The sequence below is a fragment of the Homo sapiens genome, chromosome 8 (assembly GCF_000001405.40).
Source record: "Homo sapiens chromosome 8, GRCh38.p14 Primary Assembly".
NCBI lineage: Eukaryota > Metazoa > Chordata > Mammalia > Primates > Hominidae > Homo > Homo sapiens.
This window is the reverse complement of record NC_000008.11, coordinates 71,212,828-71,236,842: the sequence shown is the minus strand read 5'-3', so window position 1 is coordinate 71,236,842 and position 24,015 is coordinate 71,212,828. Positions and strand designations below refer to the sequence as shown.

Genomic DNA, 24,015 nt, shown 5'->3' with positions numbered 1-24,015 from the left:
CTAAGAAAATAGAATTACAGATAATTAAGATAATAGCAATAAGCATTTGTCAAACACTTGTCCTATATCTTTTACATACATTATTCCATTTAACAGCATGATATCTCTACTATAGTAACACTATTAATATCTTAATTTTATGGAGGAGCCAGGTGAAGCTTAGGATAGGTAAAAGAAAACTTGTCTAAGGTCACACAACTGTAGAGTGGCAGATTCTAGCTCAGGTCTGACACTTTCCAGAAATCCACTCAACCCCATAATATACCCACCCCCCATGGTTTTTTTACCACTACAATAGAGAAATATTTTAAATATCCAATAACAGATTAAAAATGAAATAAATTAAAATACATCCTCATAAAACTTGTTTTAAGACAATTTATTGTATATAGGGAAGGTATTCATGGTCGATTTCAAGTTTTAAAAATTAGCTCTAAGATACAATCTAGCCTATTCAACATGTCATACCTCTTCAACATGTATGGCATATTTAAAAAGTGTAAAATTCGGCCAGGTGCTGTGGCTCATGCCTTAATCTCAGCACTTAGGGAGTCTGGGGCAGGCAGATCACTTGGGATCGGGAGTTTGAAACCCGTCTGACCAACACGGTGAAACCCCATCTCTACTAAAAATACAAAAATTAGCTGGGCGTGATGGCGTGTACCTGTAATCCCAGCTACTCGGGATGCTGAGGCAGGAGAATCAAACCCGGAGGTGGAGGTTGCAGTGAGCCAAGATTGTGCCACTGCACTCCAGCCTGAGTGACAGAGTGAGACTATTTCAAAAAAATAAAATAAAGAGTAAAATTTGTATTCAACACGTATGGCATACTAAAGAAAAACTGGAAGGGAATACATTTTTTAAAAGCCACGACGATATATTTTCAAGTTTAAAAGTGATCAGTCTACAAAATGAATGATAGTATATAATCCTGATTTAATGTCTATGACATATTAAAGGTAATATTTACAAGTTGCCAGTGGTTATTTCTGGGTGTTGGGGCTATAAATGCTATATTTCTGTGATGTTTCAGAACCGACATGCTATCGCATCCAGTAGTCTTTTTAGACTTTGTCATTTCTTTCCGTCATTCAATATTCAATACCTATTTATTGAATAACCATTAAGTACCTAGGCACAGTTCTAACTACTGGGGATACAGCAATGACTTTATTAAGGACATTCTCCTTATGGAGTTAGTGCTGTGGAAGAGAAGTAGGAATAAACAGTATGTAAACAAAACACTTGCAGGCAGAGATAAGTGCTATGAAGCAAATCAAGCAGTATTGGCTAAGGGATGAATTGGAGTGGGGCATTGTTAGCTGAGATGATCAGGAAGAGATGTCTCTGAGGAGGTAACATTTGTCAAGAAGGGAGAAGCTGGGAGGGAAGCAACTGCAAGGATATGGTAGGAAGTCATTTTGGGAGGACAATAGTAGGAATGAGTTTCACTCCTTCAGGAAGTGAAAGATGCCCAGTGTGGCTGAGACAGAGTAACTAGGGAAGAGCGGCAGGGTCCAGATGATGAAGGGTCTTGTAGACCATGGTAAAGAATATTTTTTTTCTAATTGCAGTGCGAAGCCATTGGAGAGTTTTAAGCATGGACATGATAGAATAGTGTTTACACTTTTAAAACATCAGTCTGGTTATCAAATGGAATCGGGGCAAGAGTGAAACCAATGAGACCAATTAAGAGACTGTCTCAGCCAGCCTAGGAGGACATTAGCTTAGGGCTGAGGATATAGCAGTCTGGATGTGGTGAGAAGTCACAGGACTTACAGTATCCTTTTATGGAAATATGGGCAGAATTTGCTAATGGATCAGACGTAGGTGGGGAGGGAAAGCAGAATCAAGGATGAGCACTAGGTTTTGCCTTGAGTACTGGAAAAGTGATCACACTTCTGAAGAAGAGTGTGTTTGGGGGGTGGCTGGGGAGGAGTTGGATTCAAGCATTCTGTATTGAGTGTATTAAGTATGAAATACATATTCAACATCCAAGTCAAGAGATGACATATAAGCAGGTAGACATACAGGTTTGGATCTCAGAAGAGAGAGGCAAATTTGAAGGTATAGTTTTGGGAGTCCCGACGCCATAAAACTAGATGGCACAGGGGAAGGAATGAAAAATTGAGAAGGGGGCCTAAGATTGAGCATTTTGGTACCAACAATTAGAAATAGGGCCAAGAAGAAGAGCTTTGAAGAGAGAATTGTATGGTAGAGAGAATTCCACAAGGTAGGTGGAAAAGTATGAGCTATCACAGAAACCTGGAGAATAGTGTTTCAAGAAGGAGGGAGTGGTATACTCCTGTGTCAAATGTGGCCAAAGTCAAGTAAGATGAGGACAGAGAAGTGAGCGACTGTTAGATTGGGCAAGAATGTTGGCTGTTAATGACCCTGATAAGCACCATGTCAATGAAGTGGAAGACATCAGCCAGATGGGAATGGGTTGAGAAGAGGATGAGGGCTGACAGTGAAGACAGAAAGGATCAAGAATTCCCACAGAGACAGACACAAAGAGATGGGCTATGGTGTGTGGAAGGCATCATGGAATCAAGGGAAGGTGGTTTCATTTTTAAATAAAAGATATTTAGGCATGTCTGGATGTCAGCAGGAATGATTCCATAGGAAGGAAAATACATGTGGTATGGCAAGGAGAATGACTACAGGAAAGAAGTCCTTGGATAGCAAGACAGAATGAAATCCGGAGCACAGGTTACATGGTGGGTCTTAGATAAGAAGGCAGGTAGAGTCTGCAGGTACAGTGCAGTCCAGGAGTGGGGATTTGGTCATGATCAAAGGAGCTGGTTCTTGCTATAAAAATATTTACTGCACTTTATTAAGATTTTCTGCATACCTCGGTCTACCCCCCACTGGGAAATCCCTTGAGGCCAGGAATCAGGATTTGTCCACTTAAATCCTGAGCTCCTGACACAAGATTTGGTACATGGAAGGCTCTCATATGTTTTCTTTAATTACTTATTTTCAAATTTTTCTAATAGTAGTCAATGATGAGCATTACCTTTATTATTTAGAAAAGTTAACTTTTAAAAGTAAATGAAGATTAATCTCAATCTTAACAATTAAAACACCCAAGATATTAGACTTTCATATTACGTTAAGTCAGATTTTCAAAATCCTTAATGTCAAGACACAATATACATAGAAGAGGTATGTTATAAAATGATATGCAGCGTGGTTCCAGTTTGGGGATTAAAAAACAAAGGTATGTATATCAAAAGAAAACAAAGGCTTTCTTTTTTTTCTTTTTTTTTTTTTTTTGAGACGGAGTCTCACTCTGTCGCCCAGGATGGAGTGCAGTGGCACAATCTCGGCTCACTGCAAGCTCTGCCTCCCAGGTTCATGCCATTCTCCTGCCTCAGCCTCCTGAGTAGCTGGGAATACAGGCGCCCACCACCACGCCCAACTAATTTTTTGTGTTTTTAGTAGAGACGGGGTTTCACTGTGTTAGCCAGGATGGTCTCGATCTCCTGACCTCGTGATCTGCCCGCCTTGGCCTCCCAAAGTGCTGGGATTACAGGCATGAGCCACCGCACCCGGCAGAAAACAAAGGCTTTCTATATTTAAAATGATACAGAAATAATTTCAACAATAAACACTGATTTATCTCTAGATAGTAGGATAAGAGAAATTTTCTGTTTTTACTTTCTATATGTAATGTTTCTTATAATTAGGAAAATGCTGAATGTAATCATGGCTCTCTTATTCCAGCCTGACTCAAAGCCCAGTGTTGTTTATGTGGTTTGTTAGCTTGCAGTTCTAGAGACACCAGAGGTGGAACTGGTGAATTCATTCATTCGTGAGGGCCCCCTTTATGCCTCAATTTCCCATCTGTAAAACTGGATGATGATATACCTCATCGGGTCAGTGTGAGAATTGCGTGAGTTAAAATCTGTTAAGTGCATACAACTAGCACTGGCTCGCAGGAAGCACTAAGGAAGTCTATGCTGCTGTTATTGTCCATTGAGTGTCTTCTACATGCAGAATGCTGGGTCAAGCCCTGTAAGGCTGTAGGGGACGAAGGGAAAGTGACTTAAGGAGGGACGAGGGAATGAAGGGCATGAGAAAATAAGTGGTTTGCTGCCAAATTCTCTTGTAGAATTCCAACAGAAATCACACCAGACACACCAAAAAAAAAAAAGAAAAGAAAAAAGAAAAAACATCTGTCAGTGGCAAATGCCCCTGCTCCAGGTAGATCACAGAATACTTCTTTGGGTCCATCCTTATTCATGGGCTCCTCCCACCCCCAGTTGCATGCCGGGAGGTGTGCTGTTGGCAGTTAAGTAGCTACTGTATCTGGTTCCCGTCACAGTGTGCTGTCCCTCATAGAAAATGAGGATGCTGGCTTCGTGTAAAAAGACACGTTTCCTTGGTTGTGCTGATAAATGTCCTTTTACTCGTTGTCTTCCTACCTCATGTTTTGAAGGATGGCTCATGGAACTTGCTGGTGGTGTCACGGCATGCAGCGGAGCCTGGCTGGGTGTGAAGTCACTGTGGAGCAGAGCCTCCCCTTCTCAGGCCGCTTGGACTGACAGTGCAGGCTGCTGGGCGTCCTTAGTGAAGTAGGAGGCAGGGGGCAGCAGTCCTTTGGGAAACTTTTCTCATGTCAGTACAAAAGCACTGACTCCATCAACACTGTGAATTCAATCTTATTATCTGCAGTTTACACATGTGGGAAATTGAAGGGAGGTGGTTGTTGCCCAAAGCCACTTGGTTAGGTGATGGTAAAGCTGAGGTTGAAACTCAGGTTTTCTTTTGCAAACATCATTGCACAAAACCTTTCTAGCCAAGTCAGAGAACCTGGCTATTCCTTTTTAGCAAAGGAAAGGAAGTCAATAACACCTTGCTGCTGTCACACAAGGATGCTATGGAGCGGGGCCTAATAACTGGATGGGGCTTTCTTGACTGTATTCTTTGAAAGCTTTCTTTCTCACTGTGTCTTACAAACCTGCAAGCCATAGTTGCCCAGGCAACTTAAAATCTATTTTGGAAATGTTGAGAGGTAGGTCAATAGATAGAGAGTGGACAGAAAGACATGTTGTTGTAATGAACAACGATAAAATAATATTGGAGCAGTCCCTACATCACAGACTAAAAAGAGCTACTTTGCGCTGAATGTCCTCATGCTCACTCTATTCTGGACACTAGCTAGGCACTGAGGATAAAATATGAAACACATTCTTTGCTGTCAAGGAGCCCAGATACTGGGTAGAGACAGAAAAGTGAAAGAATAATTCCATCACAGCAATGATGGAGATGTCTGTGGTCATTAGCTAGAGTCTGAGAGATGGGATGGCTATCCCAGATTGGGGAGAGGTGGCAAGGCAGAGTGTTGGAGCAGTGACTTCCCCAGGAAGAAACATTGAGCTTGAGAAAGCATGACATTTAGGAACAGAGCCTGTGTAGGTATAAAGCACAGAACACACAGAGAGTGCTTGTGAGATGAGAAAATGGAAAGAAAGACAGAAGCCATGTCATCAAAGGTTTTGCACACTCTGCTAAGGGAATTGGATTTTACAATGGATGCCGAGGGTAACCAGTAAAGAACTTATAGCACTACCAAGGAGATGAGTTGTATTGTAAAGTCAAAGGGGTCAATAATGATGAGAAATCAGTGGCATTTGTTTGTGGAGACAGAGAACAGGGGCTGATGTGAAAGCTACTGAGAAAGTAGTCTGGGTAGGATTTGCAGATCTATTCCGTGTAACTATTCAGTGAGCCAGTCTCTTAGTTTCTGGCTTGAGCAATAAGGTAGAGATAGAAAACCCAGGAGAATGGTCTGGCTCTGGAAGGAAGATGCTGAATTCAGATTTGAGATATTGAACCTGAAGTGTGTGTTGGACACACAAGTGGAGTCCAGTGAGCAGGTGTATGCACAGATCTGCAGCTCAGAAAACAGAAGCTGGAAGCCATCATTTCTGACATCAGTTAAGATTTCCCAGGAAGAATATATTGAATGAAAAAGAAGAGTTATGTCTTAGTTTAGAAACACAGAATCCAAATATGTATTGAAAATTCCAGATTCAGAAAATTAAATGATTTATGTGAGGCAACTGTGGCCATTTGGAGCAGCAGTTATTCCAACAGGCTGTTAATTAACCTGTTCATGAAACTGCTTTCCTAGTTTCGCCATAGTTTCTCTATTCTGTTGGGTGAAGCTACCAGGAACAGTGTGGTCTGAAGGGACAGTAAACACTTCAGAGGTGGAGAGACCTGGGTTCAGTCCTAGCTTCCTGCTAATGTATGGCCTCCACACAGTCAACCCTGACTGGCTTCAGAGAGGGTGACAGGTAGGTGTGGAGTTAAGGGAGACAACAGAATCTGGAGCTCCTGGCCGGTGCCTGCAGCATAGTGGTGCCTCAGCGAATAACAGAGTGTCTTCCTTTCTTGTTGAATGGAAATACCACTTCAGCACTCACACAGTCTGCTGGATTGCTTCAGTTTATTTTAAAGTCGTGTGAAATGGACCTGTCAGTGTCACCTATGACAGGCTTTTGGTTTAGATCTTGGATTTTGACAGGTGCTTGCTAATCTTCAATCTGGGAGAGAGTCACTGCTTTGTAGAGCCAGATTTTCCTCAGTTACCTTCATAGGAAGTTTGCTTAGTAGAGAAAGGAATTCAAGGTGCCCTTAGACCTTTTTTTTTTATTTTTTAAGGTTGAATAGTGCAAGAGAAGGCCTGTATGCCTGTAACTTCAACTTCCCCAAAATGTGTTTAAGTTGCAGTCCCTGGAGACTTCTCCCATTTCAGTGCAGCTACAATAGGGCCTCTATTTGGGCTCAGTTCAGTATTCTAGCAGCATTTCTAAAGAAAGGCTTTCTAAATGCTGGATCCTTCTCACTGCTAATTGTGTGCTACTCCTTTGTAAGGCAGGTGGACGGTCGGGGTATGGGGAGAGCATGTTGCTTTTGATCAACATTATTTTATAATCTTTTGCCTCTTCAGAAATAATCAACTAAGAATTAACTTCTGGAATTGGTATTTTGTCAGAAAGTTAAAGGGAACTCTTCTGTCCAAGATATCATCCTTTTCAATTGGTAGGAAACAGCTTGGACTAGAAGAATGTTACAGTGGTTACTTCTGAGGGATGGAATTGGAGATGAATTCTTTTATACGTTTTTTAGTACTGCACAAATTTTCTACATGAGTATGTGTCATTTTATAATCAAAATTATTTATTTCCACAAAACTAACTTCAATGACAAAATGCACTAACATTATCTATTAACTGATTGGGTCATCAATTCTTTCATAATCAAATCCTGTCAATCAGATAACCTAGAAGGTTTCAGTCCATGATATCTATGTGTTTGGTCCAGCGTTAGAAAATAAGTAGGAAAAAAAGACACGTGAAAGATGGTCTTTTCTTCAAAGAGTTTCTTATCTGGTAGTGTACACAGAAGTTGTCTGTGTAAGTCTTTGCTTATTCATCAAATGCAGAGTTTTCAGGAGAATTGGAAAGAACGTGAAATACACATGACACAAAGACTGTAGTCTGTCAATAATGGTAGTTATTATTGAGACTGTGGGTTGCAGAGAGTATGTCAGGGATGGAGAAGGGAAAGAAACCAATAAAAACTTAATGGAGGAGCACTGCCTTGAGGGAGAGAGAAGGCATTCCAGCAAGCAGTAGACACAGCTATTGTCTGGTGCAGGGAGGCAGGCTGTTCATGATAGAATGTGAGGGATGGGCACATTGGTAAGGTTAGGGCTCATTATAGAGGCCCTTGAATGCTCAATTGCATAGAAATATATTAAGTGTTTCCAATTTAATTTTTCTAATACATCTATTGAGGGAGATGGACTAAAACAGAAGTAAAACATATTCCCTGTCTCCCCTCCCGCTAGATGCTTTTGCTCTTTGTTGGAGACTGCCTTGCCTGGAACAGCAAAACCTACTTTCAGAAAAATGTATCTGAACGTGCTGCCCAGGGTGGGTTGGAAGAGGAAGGGCTTTACAAGAATCTAGTACCTTCCCTGACAGAAAATCATAGTGACAGTCACTGTACCCTTTCTCTCTAGCCAGTCCCCATGTTTAAAACCGTAAAGGCAAGATCTGCATCTCATTTATTTTTGTGTGTGTGGTGCCTGGAATAGACATAGGTGTTCAGTCCTTATTAGTTGAATGCATGAGAAAATGAATGAAAGAATCGAGAACATGTGGTTATGTATTTTCTAGTGACACTGCTACAGTTTAATATATAACACACATAATACTCATGCTATTCTAATGATACATAATATTTTCCTGAATAACATATAAACAACCAAAGCATGATTATTTATAGCTCTAAATTATACTTCTTGAGAAGAGGGATGTTTTTATAGGGAGTGAAATTATGAGTATAGACAAAACTTTCCCTTTTTTTTTTCCTTTCGGGCAGCCAACTCCATTTCCCCTTTTAACACCCAATGATTTGGGGGCAGGCACACCAGGGCTCCCCATGCTGGAAGAAATTTATCTCATAGTGCAGTTCACACCAAGGCAATGGAGCTTAAATAGTTCACTCTTACCTGAAGTCTTTGTCTTACAAAAGAAGATTCAGAAGGGATGATTTTGTGTGGTGGAATTTCAGACCCACGGATACTTAGAGGAGAGAATTTTTTGAGTAGGAAAGTGCCCCTCCAAGGTCCTCTCCTCGCCGCCAGGGTCTGACAGTGAGGGAGGTGATGATGGAACCCTTCCTGCAGCTCACAGGGAACTGCTTTTTAAAAAGTGCCTATGTCCGGTTCTGCATATTTTTCTTTCTGGAGTCAGTAATAATTACATGGCAGAGAAAATCAGCTTGGAAAAATCTTTATTAACTTATTAACTAAGGATATGATTGGGCCTGATTTATTCTGAGCTGTATGTTCTTTTATGCAAAATTGAGTGTTTCTTACTATTAGAAAATTATCTAGCAGTATAAGTTAACTGAAGTTCATAAATTAGCCTCTTTTAAACTTCAAAATTTCAACCCCACTCTCACCCCTGCAAAAGAAAAAGACATTTAAAAAGGTTAATTACAAGAAAATATTTCTTTACAAAATGCATTGACATATAGTTTGTAGTTAAAGATGAATCTATAGACATGTAATGGCATTAAACAGAAACTAATATTTGTTGCAAATGATTTTAGGAGGAGTGGGAAATTGCTCCAGAAAAAAAAATAATGTATGACCTATTTAATATTGGAGCTTATAGTTCATTGTTTTATATGAGCGAAACAAATATTTTTGTGCAAATGAAAGCTCTAGTTAAATGCTTTGTGAATAAATTGGTATGCGATTCACTTTCTGCAAATGGCCATGAAAGTTAAAAGAAAGCCGTTGCAGAAAAGGATGAAAGTTCTCTCGGTCTGAATATTTTTCCATGCTTCTGGCAGCAAGTTTGCAATAAAAAGAATGATTTTTATGACATTGTGATTATTCACAGCAAGCCTAGAGTTGCTGTCACTATGAAAAATTCTTCTTTAGTAGATTCTCTCAGCAGGAATAATAGATCTAAAAGAAAGGAAACAGGAGTTACAAAGAACACTGTTGCCAGTGACAAATTATGTTTGCAAAAATGATGAGCAAGCCCGTTGAAAATTGAGAAATAAGTTCAGCAGTAAATCAAAGGCTCATTCTTAAGAGTAGTTCTGAGTTGCTGTTCCAAAAAAAAATGATATTTATATTAGATGTGTGCTGAGTTTTTTTAATGTTCTGAATGATAATTAGCTTACACATTAATTCAGCCTTTAGTCTTTTATCTTCATACTTTGTTATATACCATTTTAAATATGTGTAATATTTTAATGATAAAATTGTACAATATAATTTGGCATTGTCAGCAAACACTAATGCATTGCCCTGTGTGGTATATGAAGGTTTGCACTGGTTATGATACAAATTTGTAAAATTCTATGTTCTCTTAAATTAACTGAACCATAAATAAAGCTGTGCATTTGGACATAACCTTTTGTGTACAATGTCAGCGGTAGGGACATAGAATGCATTGAAATACCTCTTACTATTGCATAAAACATAACTTAATAAAAGACGGATCTTGTACGAGATAGTATTTATTGTATACTTTTAAAAAAGCAAAGAAATTTACAAGTATTGATATCATTAGATCAAATGTAATATATGCTATTATCTTTTAATTATCCTTATATTAAAACTGTTCAACACTGAGTCACTAAGGTAATGGATTAGTTAATGGATTAATCCATTACCTTTAGAGACTCAGTGTTGAACAGTTTTAAATAAGCTCATTTTGTTTAAAAGTTTATTTTCAATTCTTTCTGGCTTTCATTAAGTGAGACTTTCTTTTCCTCACCCTAAGGTTGAGAGTGTGAATAAAGACAAATATATTTAATATCATGTGGTAAAGAAGGCATTCATGGTGACAAATATATTTAATATCATGTGGTAAAGAAGGCATTCATGGTGAGAAAGAAGGAACTCCACGCACAGTGAAACTGACATATCATATTTATTAACATTGTACTCACTAAGAAGGAGCTATCTTCATGTGATACCTTTGGGATTCTGTAAGCCACACGCTAAAGTGATATAATGATGTCTTATTTTTTTTAATTAGCACATTTTAAAAGGGATTAATATTATAAGAAAATATCAAAACTTTGAAAAACATGTGTTCATGCAATCTTCTAGTTATTAATAAGTTTGGGCATCCTGGAAGCCTTTACTTAGTGATCTCAAATATTTACCATAATTTTATGCATATACCAGCACATAGCTTAAGCACTTCAATTTATTTTTTACCTTAACATACCATCTTCAGGAACTTTCAGTAAAGACTTTGTTCTCTAAATATTTTATGAATATTAATAAATAGAATCAGATCAAAATAGCTAATACCTTACCTTTGTTGAAACTTCTGTAATTCAAATCTTGTGTTTCTAATACAAGCACTTAGGTCTCCTAGCTAATATAAACATAATTCTAGTAAAATCTCTCTCACTTAGATAATCTCTAAAGGATATTATAACATTAAGTATATTAAGACACTGTTTTTGTTTGTAAATGCCATATGTGTGTCCACAAGTTGCATCTTATTGCCACCTCTCGAAAATAGATGCTGAAATTCCTCTTTTTGGTTTCTGAAATTTGAAATTGTTTTCTTTTCCCATCGGCTTGTATAGTTGTGTCATCCTATTCCTACCATAACACATATAGATATTTAAATATTGACTTAAAATATCGGTTGGCACCAATAGTATGCTGAGTAGATAGTTTAGAGTGGGAATTAAAAGATATATTTGTCCAGGTGTGTCTTAATTCCTTGACTTGCACTTCCCAAAACTGCCAAACAGAATGGGGCAAATTTCAAAACTCCTTTTGTTTTTTATCCCCTGTGCCTTAGCCACAGGTATCTGCACCATTTTTTTCTTTTTCTGCAAGGAAGCATCATGGTGTGAAGGCCAGGGAAATAGGAGGTCACCAGGTGTACCCTAGACAGAGATGACAGGGTCTGCCAGCGATTGCCAGTGTGGAGAGGCTACAAACCACATACCCTCCCCATCTCCAGGAGTCAAGGGCTTCCAGAGAGTCCATGATGCTGGTGAAGCTGGGCAGAAGAAAGCCTAGCAGCGCTTGAGCTCTTCATGAGGTCTATTTGAAAGCACAGTGAGGGCTTGGACGTGCCCTTAGAAAGCACAATGGAATCATGCTGTTCTGCATCAGTAAGTATAAATACACAGTACATCAGTTGGGCAGTCTCCTCTTTACAGAGAAAAACACGCAAGTAAAAACATGGTTCCTGCAAATTTACTAATTCATGGACAGAGGGTCTTTATCACGGAGCCTACACTTGATGTACCAAATCAAATTGTCAGCTAGTTGGAAGCCAGTTTCTTCAAATCTGTTCCATCAATTGGCTTCTTCCTTGACTACTCCTCTCCCTCTGTAGAACTTCTAAATCATAGAGAAGTTTAGAAGATGTCCCATTTCACTTAGTTTTTCAAATTAGTTATGAAAATATCTGGAGAGTTGAGAGTTATTTCGAAAAACCACCATGGAGAGCATTCCCTTAAGACCTTTGTCACTCAAACACTGGTCACCCTGTAAGGCCATCTGTGTAATTTAGTTTTCTGTGAGAAAGATGGTAGTCTGGATAGATCCACAGACAGATATGCATTCTTTTTCAAGTGCTGCTAATGGCTTGACAAAATTAGCTTTCAGACAATTTATGTGAGTTTGTCACTAAAGTACTAGAACTACCCATGTCCCATGTATAAATAAACATTTTCACATTTAGAAATAAGAGGAATACTTCTTTTAGTGACCTATAGATGTCAAATATCAGGCAAGTATCTAAATTGCTCAATAGGGAAGTCAGAGCCATGGATGTAATCACTTAATGACAGATAAGAGGGGACACAGAACCCAATGATCACTTCCTCTGCCTTGGCCAGCTCCAGCTGGTCTCAATAGGCACATTGATGTAAAGACACAATGAAAACAGCTAGTTCTCTGCTGACTTTTATCCTTCCATTTTTGTTTTGTAAAAGGAAGTATTGAAAGTATTGAAACAATTAGTTGGCAGTATGGTGTTAGTTTTCTCATGGTAAATTTGGAACATGGAGCATACTATAGCCTTGATCAGCAGGATTTGGACTTGTGTAACTCAACTTCTCCAAAGACACATTGTAACTTTTTCATATTATTCCCTTTTATAACATGCAAACTGCCTCACAGTCTTCCTAGAGACTTCCTTCTCTGTTTATTCAAGGACTTCAGGTTTACTCTGAGTTTGTGTTTCTAGTTTCATGTTCAGAAGTATACAGCATCAGTGTCCTAGCTATTACGTCACTGTTGGCACAGATAATAAGACTCATTGTAACTGTCTTAATTCTCTTTATTAATTTTCCAAAACTACCTTGAATTGTATGGTGTATTTTTACATAATTATGGTACAAGTGAAAGGCTTGGGGGGAAAGTACAACTACTACAGTATCAAAGCAGAATAAATATTTGCAGAAAAATTCTGCCATAACTTAATATTTTGCATATGAGCCTCTGTACAAAATCTGAGTTATTCCCGGGGATTGGTCCAAAAGAACATGTCTGTGGCCCAGCCCTAGAAGGCCAGAGATGATGATGGATCAGAAAAAGGTCAGCTTGAGTCTTGATGCCAAGAATAATGACAGAAGGGACTAAAAAGGCAGAATAACAGTGCAACCAGAGTTCCAAGAGCGAATGTGCATTTGCCGCATGGCTGTGAGATCGTGCCCCATGTGGCTTTCTGCCCACTCCCTATACCTACACCAGAACTGGGATTCAGGACTTCATGTGTTGGCAGTTTCCCCAGCCACCCATGTGAGCATTTTATAATCCAGCTCCATGAGTAGTTAGATGACTGTTAGCTGAGGGCCAGCAGTAACTGAAGCTAACTTTATTTATTTTACTCCTCTGTGAAGCACAGGTGGTGTCATATAAGGGGAAGGCTGGCAAGGGTAGACCATGGTCATTTCAATTTTGGTATTTACTGAAAGATGCTTGTAGGATCCTGTTGTGGAAAAGCAGAGGTTTGCAGGCTGGTAACTGTGGGCACAACACCGCACCTCTGACTGGTGCCATCTGCCCTCTTTTCAGCTTCCCCTGCCATGACGGTGGCCTAATCCGTTTTCCTGGTCCTCAGCTCTCCTACTTAGGACACGCTGTGGCAGTGTGATATGCTAAAACCTATGCTTTCACCACCTACAGTTGTACTCTCTACCCTCCACGCCTGGCAGAGACCCGGTTACTACAGTGGCTCTCCTTCTGGGAGCATTTTCCTCTGAAGTACCAGTCATTTAAAGGCCTGCTGATGACATGAAGCGTTGGGGCTTGTGCTGTAGGATGAAGGACCCACATCCATGCTCCAGGCAGGAAGAGGGGTCCATGACCACGGACACAGAGCACAGGTCAGAGTGGGGCAGACAGAGCTGGAGTCCCCTAAACTCAAAACAACTGAGAAGCCTCTAAGAACCTAGGTCGTGACCAGTGTCTAGAGGGAGCAGTTGTCTACACTGTGTGAAATTGAGGAGCCTGGGAAGAAACGGCGAGTTGAGGGTCAAAGACATCAGCATCGCAGCATTTATCTCACATTATTTAGCTTTTCTGAATCTTTATTTTTCATATCTGTAAAATGGGTTGTAACATTAAATACTATTGCATTTTCACCATAAATTCAACTTAAGAACTAGGAGTCTGTGTAAGTGAGAGAAACTGAGCACCTGCCTCTGCAGGAACTCCACAATAAGTGTAAGGAATGCCTTCTGCAGAAGCTATTGCTGTGGGGGAAGGAAGAATATCCTCTACGAGGGATACAAAGTGCCAAGATGTGGTGCTTTGGTAGTCAGGTATCAAGGGATGATGAATCTCTGGTGTCTTGGGACTTCTGAAGAGAGAGACCAACCTCTGACTGGGAACAGCGGGCTGGATGCGTTAGCAATACCCAAGTTTGGTAATTAATTGTAAAATTTTTCTAGTGGAGGATAATCGCAACTTTGCCTCTTGCACTGGCCCTAGTTCTTCCACATAATCTATCTGTACTATGTGACTGTTACCAGTGGCAAATACCTGAGTCACACGGCACCAAATATGTTACCAGTGGAAGGTATCCGAGTTACCAGCAGTGAATCCCTATGGTCTGCAGCAACCTCAATTCTTACCTCCTCAGAAGAAAGAATTCAACTGGGGGGCATGAGGCAGAAAGAGAGACTGAGGCAAATTTCAGAGCAGGAGTGGAAGTTTTCTGAAAAAGGCTTTAGAACAAGAAAAAAGGAAACTGCACTTGGAAGAGACCCAAGCAGGCATCTTGGTCAAGTGCGGTGTTTAACCTTGATCCTAGGACTTTATATGCTCGCCCCGTTCCCATGCATCTTCCCTTAGGGTGGGCTGCCGGCATGTGCATTGCCCCCCTTACCCTTGGGAACTGAGCCTGTGCAGTGTGTTTAGGAAGCTGCACGCATGTCTATCTGAGGCTTTCTTCCCTTTTCCAGTGGAGTGCCCCCAGAAGGTCATACTCTGCCATTAGGTCTCTTAATGTGCATGCCCAGGGACCCTGGTGCCTGCATTCAGTTAACATTTAGTGCAACAGGTGTGGACCATCAGGAAATGGCCTCTCCCTGGCATTGGCTGCCAATTTATCACTTTTAGAGAGACAATGTGATAATTGCCAGACCATCACCCGACATTCCTAGTGGGTGGCGAAGAGCCCTCTCCTGCCCCGGCTCATGGCTAACTACCTGTATGTGAAAATTGGCTAAATAGAAATGTTTATTATATATTCCTCTACTGCTGACTTGTTTCTGAGCCCTTATGCAAACATGTTGAATTTTTCATCCCTTTGGGAAAGCCATTAACAAAAAATTACTCTCTTCCCACGTCTTGATCCCTTTCCAACTCCCATATCAGTTCTCACATCTGTGACTTGGGGGTGAAAGAAACATGTCTTCAAAGGCTTCCCCTCACCTCTCTGAGGCCTGGTCACTAAGCCCCCGGGGTTCCTTTGTACCTTCCCCGCCCCATCCCACCCCACCTCACTGCCATTTGAAGGTAGAGGTCCAGCATGGATAGTCTGGGACCAATAAGCTGTTTTGTTCCTGTCACCACAGTTCAGTTGTTAGGAACCATCTCCAGTAGGCCACCATTTTATCGGTTTGATTGTTTCAATCACAAAAGCCACAAGGACAAGCGGTGGACCAGGCTGTCCCTCCTGATGTACCAAAATATAATTTTAATTCTTCAGACCTTTGCAACTCTCTCTGGCTAAATAGAATGTAGGACGATGTTCATTTGGATCCTAGGGAAGTTCTGCAGGATTTACCATGATTTTAATTATCACGTGTAGTTAGTTAACTTCTCTCTTTCCCCCATAACCATGTAAGTGCCTTGAGGGCAAGGACTGATAACTTGACCACTGCTTCCTTGGCAAAGCCTGCTCCTTGCTGGGATCTGCAGGCACAGGGAACTCTTCTCCTCCTCTGCCCTCTCCTGGCTCCTTCCTCCTACCTCCTTACACCAGTGTTCTCCTGCCTCAGGGCCTTTGAACTTGCTCTTTTATTTGCCTGGAAAACTCTTTCCCTCACACCCACTTGGCATTGCATTTCTCCCTCATCTACTTTTTTGTTTCCTTAGCACTTACCACTATCCAGCATATGTACATTTTACATATTTTCTCGTTTGTGACTAACTAGAATGTTAGTTTCAAGGCAGTAAGGACTTTTGTCTGTTGTATTAAGCGCTGTATCATTAGCATCTGAAACACTACCTGGAACACAGCAGCCTCTCAATAATTTGACACGTACATGAATGACCACCTTTCTAAGCTAAGATACCCATTAGTTTACTGTGAGTGCAAAATCTTTCAGGAGTCCTTGAAATCACTATCTCTGTCTTCTCTGAGGTCCCAGGCCAGATCCCCAAACACAGCAGGGATCCCCTGGGCATCTCAGACCCTTCCACTACAGATTAGCGCATAAAATATGCTGAACTGGAGTGGCCCCTAGAAATGTGAATGCTGTCCCAAGATTTGGATTCAATAATGATTTCATCACCTTAAAAGTCTATCACATAATTTTGGTCGTGTATTTCAAAAGTACAGTTTCAGCACGTTTAGTCTGTTTTTGGAATAAAAACTTATTTTCCCATAGAATTATGTATGTTCTGTACTCTACTGAACACCAAATTAGGGTTTTTAGGAATATATATTGGCACCTGGAAATATATTAAGCTTCCATTTTTGTCTTTGTCAGTAGATTCTTCCAGGAGAGCTTTAAACCAGGTTGCTGCTGTTGGTTCACGGTGCCCAGAGCCCCTTCTGCCTAAGCCATGGACTCTGAAATCAGGCCCTGCACCCTCCCTCAGTTATCTCATTGTCTGGGTTTTAAACAAATTTGGAAGCTAAAAACAACCTAGTCCAGAAGGCAAAAATGACAACCTAAAATTTGGCTCTTAGGAAGACAAAAAGCTAGATAGATGGTGTCTGAGAAATGGTAGAAGGAAAGTTTCTCCCCACAGAAGAGGCTGAGTTTCAGGATATCTGATGGGAGACTTCAGTTTCTCATTTGAGAGCTGCTGGACTTACAACAGGTTAACACATTGTGCAGTTCTGCTGTGGAATATTGCAGTATCTTAATATTCCTCATTCTTTCATGAATTAAAATGTTAATAAGTAAGCATTTAGATAGCAATATTATAGTTTCTCCTTAAGATTTAAAACAATTTTTTAAAAACATACCTCCCAAGGCATTTTATGTCATTATTTGTAAGTTCCTACAAAGACACAGATAATGAACCCTCAGTATGTATTTTATGTATTTGAAGTTTGTACAATATAGTATTTTTCTATTCATTAAGTGAAATAAGCAACAATTACATAGACACATTTTACATAGACATTTTAATGATTTTTTTTTCATTCCTGGAGGTGCTGATGAGGCCCCTTAGAGATTACTCTTGATTTTTAAATCTCTTTTAATTAAAATCATTCTACAGAAATTCTGATGAGGAATGAGGATTTCCTTGTCACTACTCCGAACTTTGCTTTAATCAAGTCACTGTGAAGTGAGTTTGCTATCTGCAGGTAAAAGCTTGAAGGTGTTGACACTAAGAGCTAAGCTAGAGATTGAACAATACTTCAAATGAAGTCCTCAGCCTGGGAACAAAACGTTTTAAATGAAGCTGGCAGGAGAAAACAAATACAGGATGTGGAAGAACAATAGCAACAATGGGGTCGTTCACAGCTGTTAGAGGATAACTGCCTTCTCTGTTAGTAATGAGGATTTACAGCTAAATTCGCTTCAGAAAAGCATCTTAACACCCTGCTTTTTCAAAAAACTCTTTCCACCCTTAGAGGGAACCAGGGAATTCCAGGTCAGTTTTGATTCCTTGAATTAAATTCTTTTGAACATACATTTTCCTCTTCTACTAGTTCCTCAACTTCCTCCTCCTTTTTGTTCATTCTCCCAAGAGAGAAAATTTCTCCATCATGGCGCTATGGCCTTCCCCTCTCCCCCCACCCCCAACGCTAACCACACGCTCTAAAGAAGTTTTACAACATAAAAATTACATTCCTGGTTAAATATCAGAAATTTCTACTCAGGATTTAGTATGTTGTCGAAAACACAAGCGATCATCATTCATCTTCTAAAATAAGATTACATTAATAAATGAGAAGTTCCCAACCACGTTTTCCAAGAATGACCTGTTTTTAAAATGTTAAATTCACAGTCAGCATGTGAGGGCTCCTAGACTTGCTTTTCCTTTTCTCTTATCTGAGGTTATGGACCTCAGGAGAGCAGGGGAGGGTTACAAGGTCAAAGTCTTTTCCTCCTTGGAACTTGCTGCGTGCTGGGAGAGGGCTGCCTGGAAAATAGATGCTTTAGAGAAGAGGTTGGGGGTCACGATTTTAATTCTGTTAAGGAACAGCTGGTTTGAGTTTCTTTCCACTTCTATCTCCTCCTCCCTTCCTCACAAATCCATGGAGAGAGAAGAGTTTGTTCAGAAGGGACCGGCAACATAAAAATATACCTTCTATTATTATAGTGCTTTCTAAGTGTCATCTTTGTTATGAAGTTGAGTCTAAGTGCTAGAGAGATGGGCTAGATTTTATAAAATTAACTCTATCTGAAACATGACCAGACCTTCAGTCAAAAAGAACCTTTTAAAATACAGGATGTGCGCCTGGAAATTTCTTTTAATAATATTTTTAAACTAAAACTTTAATGGAAATAAGTACAATAAAGGCCTCTGGGGTATTTGGAGCCTGACTGCAAAGAGAGGAACATGACTGAAATATGAAAGCAGCCAAGTGGGGGTGTTAAGTTTCTGGACTAGAGTCCTTGTCTGCCTCCAAATTAATATGCCTTCATTCATTCAACAAATGTTTATTGAGTGCCTGTTCTTCCCACAATTCATCTGGGGATACGGTGGTTAAGATATATGGGTGCTCCGATATATCTGCAAACAGGTGCAGAAACGTTAACTGGGCCCAATAGAGCTTTAGCCTGTAAGCATGGCTTCCTATTCTAAGTAGTTTACACAGTTTGGGATTTAAAAATAAGATCTGTTCAAAATAACATTATGCCATAATAAACTCATAAATCCAGTGAATATGTAATAATAGTAAAACAGCTAAAAATAACACAAAAAATGTAAAAAAAACTAAACAGCAAACAAGCACATGGTTTGACTTTTTATTTAGGTTTTAAAGTCTCCCATGGTTTTTACCGTGCACATGTGTACACACACACACACACGTACACAGAGAGAGAGAAAGAGGGAGGATAAAACTCACATCTCTCAAATAAATGGAAACCAGTAACAGATTTTTTGTCTGGGCTCCTCAACACACTGGCCTCAGGCTGTGTTGGTGTGTGGCTCAACAGCAATCAGAGGTCATAATTTCATTGGCAGTTAGCATCAGGTTTAATTTTTCTAGCATGTTACATTTACCAAAATGTCTGGTTTCAGTTATGCTTAGGCACTGACTGAATCAGCTCTGAGCAGCATGATGGCTTAAGGTACCTGAGGTTTATGGAACACATATGCTAATTGTTTTCAATCACTTTCCTTTCTAAACACAAAAATGTGTTTTCTGAAGCTGAATAACAGTAGTCCTTAACGATGTTGCTTCTTTCTTACAGGAGAGGACCCTAAGTAGGTAAAAATGTCAATTTTACAAGACTGCCACCTACTGATTGACATAGTTGAAAAATCCTCCAATTAAGGTGCTTTAAAAAATATGTATGGTTTTTCCAAAACAAAACAAAAAAATTAGGTACTCTTAAAAAATTGACATGTATCATTTTAATTGCATTTTAGGAATGTGACCAAGTCCATATAGATGATGTTTCTTCAGATGATAACGGACAGGACCTAAGGTGAGCACCCTTGAATGTGAAGTGACCATCTCCCTTTTATAGTTTAATTACTTACCTAATTAAGATGGACTTTCTGTTCGGCTAACTTTGGGCTTTTCTTGCATATAAATAGCACATATAACTTTGGAACAGATGGCTTTCCTGCTGCAGCAACCAGTGCTAACTTATGTTTGGCAACTGGTGTACGGGGCGGTGTGGACTGGATGAGAAAGTTGGCCTTCCGCTACAGACGGGTAAAAGAGATCTACAACACCTACAAAAATAATGTTGGAGGCAAGTGATTACCACCAGTACCTCAGCAAGTTAAGACAGTCCAGATACAATTCCAAAAGTACTGTACACTTTTGTGTCACACTGCTTTGAATATAATAGCTTCTATTTGGGCAGTTTCATCTCACTGGCCATTATTCTGCTGTGATTTAGTGACAGAAATATTGCACTGGAGCCAGCTGCCCTGGCTATTCCAGTCTAGTCCTGTCTCTGTTACCTAGTGATGTGACCTGGGGCAAGTTTCCTGACCTCTCTGACATTCAGTTGTCCTTTCAAGGAAGGATTAGCATCCTTCGAAGAATTAGCCACCTCTGCCCAAATCACAAGATGGGTTGTAAATCTCCTCCTACAGGGTAAATACTTGGATTAGTTTGAATCTTTTGACTTTGGTTCATAATGGCTTTAGCATGAAAAGGAAATACAGTGACTTAATAATAAAAAGTTTAGGGGTGAGGTTGGTTTCCAGCATGGCTATATGCAGATGCTGAAATGATGCTGTCGGGGAAGCCTGTGCCTTCCTTTGGATAAAGGCCTTTCTAGGTCAGTCCCTCCCAAGAGGTGGCAAAATGACCACCAGTAGATCCAGCTTTATACTCTACCAGTAGTTTGGCACATCCATGAGGGGAGGGAATCTATCATTTCCTAATAGATTCAGCAAAAGTTCCAAGACTGACTTCCACTGGCCAAGTGAATGCTGCACACCTACCCTGGGAGCCAGAAGGTGGAGTCACCTCTGCCCAAACTACACTTAGAGGAATGTAGGAAAGTAGGTTCCCTAAAAAGAGATGACTTCTGTAACCAAACCAAATAAATACTTGTCAAATGAATGGTACTATGTGAAAGATACTTTGTATACTATAAATCTGGAGGCTGGTATTCATAGTACTTTTTAAATGTTAATTACTTGCAAAGCCGAAGAAATATGTTGGTCAGGAAGTAGTTCATCATGTGCTTTTAAATCCTCAGGTCTGCTTGGTCCAGCTAAGAGGGAAGCCTGGCTGCAGTTGAGGGCCGAAATTGAAGCCCTGACCGACTCCTGGTTGACACTGGCCCTGAAAGCACTCTCGCTCATTCACTCCCGGTGAGGCTCTCTGCGGGGTCTTTGCCAGGAAATGGGCAATGCTCGTGCTTGTTCATTTTGGAGATTTATTTTTCAACAGTCTTTGTTTTCTTTTTGTTCTCATAGGACAAACTGTGTGAATATTTTAGTAACAACTACTCAGCTCATCCCAGCATTGGCGAAAGTCCTGCTGTATGGGTTAGGAATTGTATTTCCAATAGAAAATATTTACAGTGCAACTAAAATAGGTGAGCTGCTTTTCTTTTCTTTTTAACAATCAGCTCTTTTCCTTCAGGATAATAAAAACGAAAGGCAATAAATGAAACTTTTTTTCCAGAATGCTACATAGGTCAAAAAAAAAATACAAGAATAATTTAACCAATTTGCAAAACTGGATTTAGACGTAAGAGAAACATAAAGCATAATACAGTAGCTGAAGTCACAAAATTTTACTTGACTGGCTAACGTTAAGACCAGGGCATTTTAGGTAGAGTAACAGCATCGATTCTGGATTATTATCATATTTTTATCCTTTTAGGCAACATTAACAAAAATATCTGATTTTCTAAGCTAAAACAAACAGCAAGATAGAATTATAAAAAGTAGAAATGAAACAACTCTAATAACAGATTTATTACTAGAAATATTTGTTTTGTTTTTCATTCAATCTGTATAATCAATTGAGTTTCCATTTTTGTTGTGGAGATTTAAAAGCTTCTTGCATGAAAGAAACATAGTTGGGAGGAAAATACTTATGAAATTTAGTTAGAATATAAATCAAGGCAGAATCAACATAGGAATAAAAAGACATGGCTCTTGTTCTCAGGGGAAGCAGACAGTTACATGACAATCCAATATGATACAAGAGTATGCAAATGAGCATTTTTTAGTTGTCTACTAGATGCCCTGAACTGTACTAAGCATTTTGCATTTAAAGTCAATCTTTATAATCTTTCCATTTTACAAATGAGGAAACTAAAGTCCAGAGACTTAAGTAAATTGTTGCAATCAATAGTTCACAAACACAAGGCTCAAGCCTCATGTTTCTCTGATTCCAAGGTCCAGACCCCTTGCTGTATCCTACAGGGTCCTATTGCTAAGTGCTTGAATGTGCACATGACTGAGGAAGCATTTACTGCCACCCAGGAAGAGGTAGAGGCCAAGTGTCTATGAAAGTGTGAAAGCTAAAGGGAAGAAATGACATTTGATCTGGGTATAGAAGAGCAAGTAGGAGTTCAACAGGTAGATGGGCTAGTGAGAACAATGCAAATGGACAGAGAAATTAAAATGTGTTCCCTGCTGAGGGACTTGTGAGTGGCCCTGGGTAGCTAGTATGCAGTGCTCATTAGAAGCCAAAGCTGAAAAGGTATACTTGGGTCTAGGCATGAATGGCGTTGTATATCACCCTAAGGAGAGGAATGTTATTTTAGTCCAGGGGAAGGGGTATGAGCATTCTAGCAGGTGGCAAGAGGGCTGTCTTTGGCTGCTCGACTCCATATAATAAAAAGGGGCAAAAATGGAATCCCTGTAGGTCTAACTTCCGTTTGCCTGCACTTTTACACTTCCTGTGCTTCTCCTTCAAAGCATTTACTAAATGATTACTAAAAAATTACTGACTTTTATAATTATTTGTTCATAGTATGACTTCCCCGTCATACTGTAATAATCTTGAGGACTGGGTTTGTCTCTCTTGCTCATCATAGTAGCTGTAACACCCAGCACACAGTAGGTATCAATAAATGTAGAGATGAATTTGTTGAATGAATGGCTGAATAAATTACCATTTATTTTGAAGAAGGCCGACACAAGATTTCTTTTAGGCACGTGCGTCAATAGCGGCACAATTAACTGATGGGGAAATCAGGTTTTATTTTTATCAGTGTTGCATTGGAAGAGACCCAGTGGGGTCTTCAATCAATGGCAGAAAGACACAGTCAGCAGGGTGCTGATGGGATTCATCCAGGCTAACCTTTCAAGTTAGAAATACATATCTGGAGTTTGAGAATGACTGATGCTTCCCAAGAAGGGCCAAGAACAAATTGTTGGAAAATATCAAAAAGCAAGAAATATATCAAATAGAGTAAAATTCCTAGTAGCCCATTATAACCAGAACTTTTATGTGCTTTCATGTTCCATAAAAATAGCAAACAGTTTAAGTCACATGTTAATTCTATTTTCATCTATATCAATTAAGAGGAATTATAATTATATTGTGTTGTAAACAGGGATTGTGGAAAAGGTTTACCAGCACATGAAAGTTGGAACAAATGCCGAAGCAGCCCATAGTACAGAAGCGGGTAGAGCTTAGGTTCTCAGAAAGAAAGCAGGAGTAGTGTATTACATAGCATGTGCATTGAAGTTTAATCCCAAATAATTTGAAAATGATAACAGGAAATTACAATCCAGTAAGCATTGTTTTTTTAATGGGCATTTTGTTTAAAATATTAAGCTTTATTTTTTTTTCAATACAGAAAAAAAATATGTGGTGGTGGAAGTAGGATTTCACCATCAAATAAGGTATATGTGGGGAATCAATGCAGAAAACCCAGCAATTTTTTTTTTCTTTTGACATGGAGTCTTGTTCTGTCACCTAGGCTGGAGTACAGTGGCACCATCTCAGCCTGTGCCTCCTGGGTTCAAGTGATTCTCCTGCCTCAGCCTCCCCAGGTAGCTGGGATTACAGGCACACACCACCATGCCCAGCTAATTTTTGTATTTTTAGTAGAGACGGGGTTTCTCCATGTTAGCCAGGCTGGTCTCAGACTCCTGACCTCAGGTGATCTGCCTTGGCCTTCCAAAGTGCTGGG

The 24,015-nt window shown here is 39.8% G+C and overlaps 1 protein-coding gene across 27 annotated transcripts in view, besides 2 other annotated features; it reads left to right on the top strand.

Annotated features, from left to right (window-relative positions):
• Positions 1 to 24,015, top strand: part of EYA1 (EYA transcriptional coactivator and phosphatase 1) — a 350,662-nt gene that overhangs the window by 311,252 nt on the left and 15,395 nt on the right. For all 27 annotated transcript variants that reach the window (XM_047421528.1, NM_001370336.1, XM_011517484.4 and 24 more), the window contains 4 exons: positions 19,820 to 19,878; positions 19,991 to 20,151; positions 21,115 to 21,229; positions 21,335 to 21,456. In XM_047421528.1, coding sequence (XP_047277484.1) covers positions 19,820 to 19,878; positions 19,991 to 20,151; positions 21,115 to 21,229; positions 21,335 to 21,456 — 457 coding nt within the window. The remainder of the gene's footprint in view (positions 1 to 19,819; positions 19,879 to 19,990; positions 20,152 to 21,114; positions 21,230 to 21,334; positions 21,457 to 24,015) is intronic.
• Positions 17,284 to 17,904: an enhancer, noted in NCBI's record as "OCT4-NANOG hESC enhancer chr8:72131174-72131794 (GRCh37/hg19 assembly coordinates)". NCBI's record gives its function as "activates a minimal SCP1, AML or CMV promoter by ChIP-STARR-seq in naive H9 embryonic stem cells {active_cell/tissue: H9 hESC(naive)}" and the evidence as "EXISTENCE:reporter gene assay evidence [ECO:0000049][PMID:30033119]".
• Positions 17,905 to 18,526: an enhancer, noted in NCBI's record as "OCT4-NANOG hESC enhancer chr8:72130552-72131173 (GRCh37/hg19 assembly coordinates)". NCBI's record gives its function as "activates a minimal SCP1, AML or CMV promoter by ChIP-STARR-seq in naive H9 embryonic stem cells {active_cell/tissue: H9 hESC(naive)}" and the evidence as "EXISTENCE:reporter gene assay evidence [ECO:0000049][PMID:30033119]".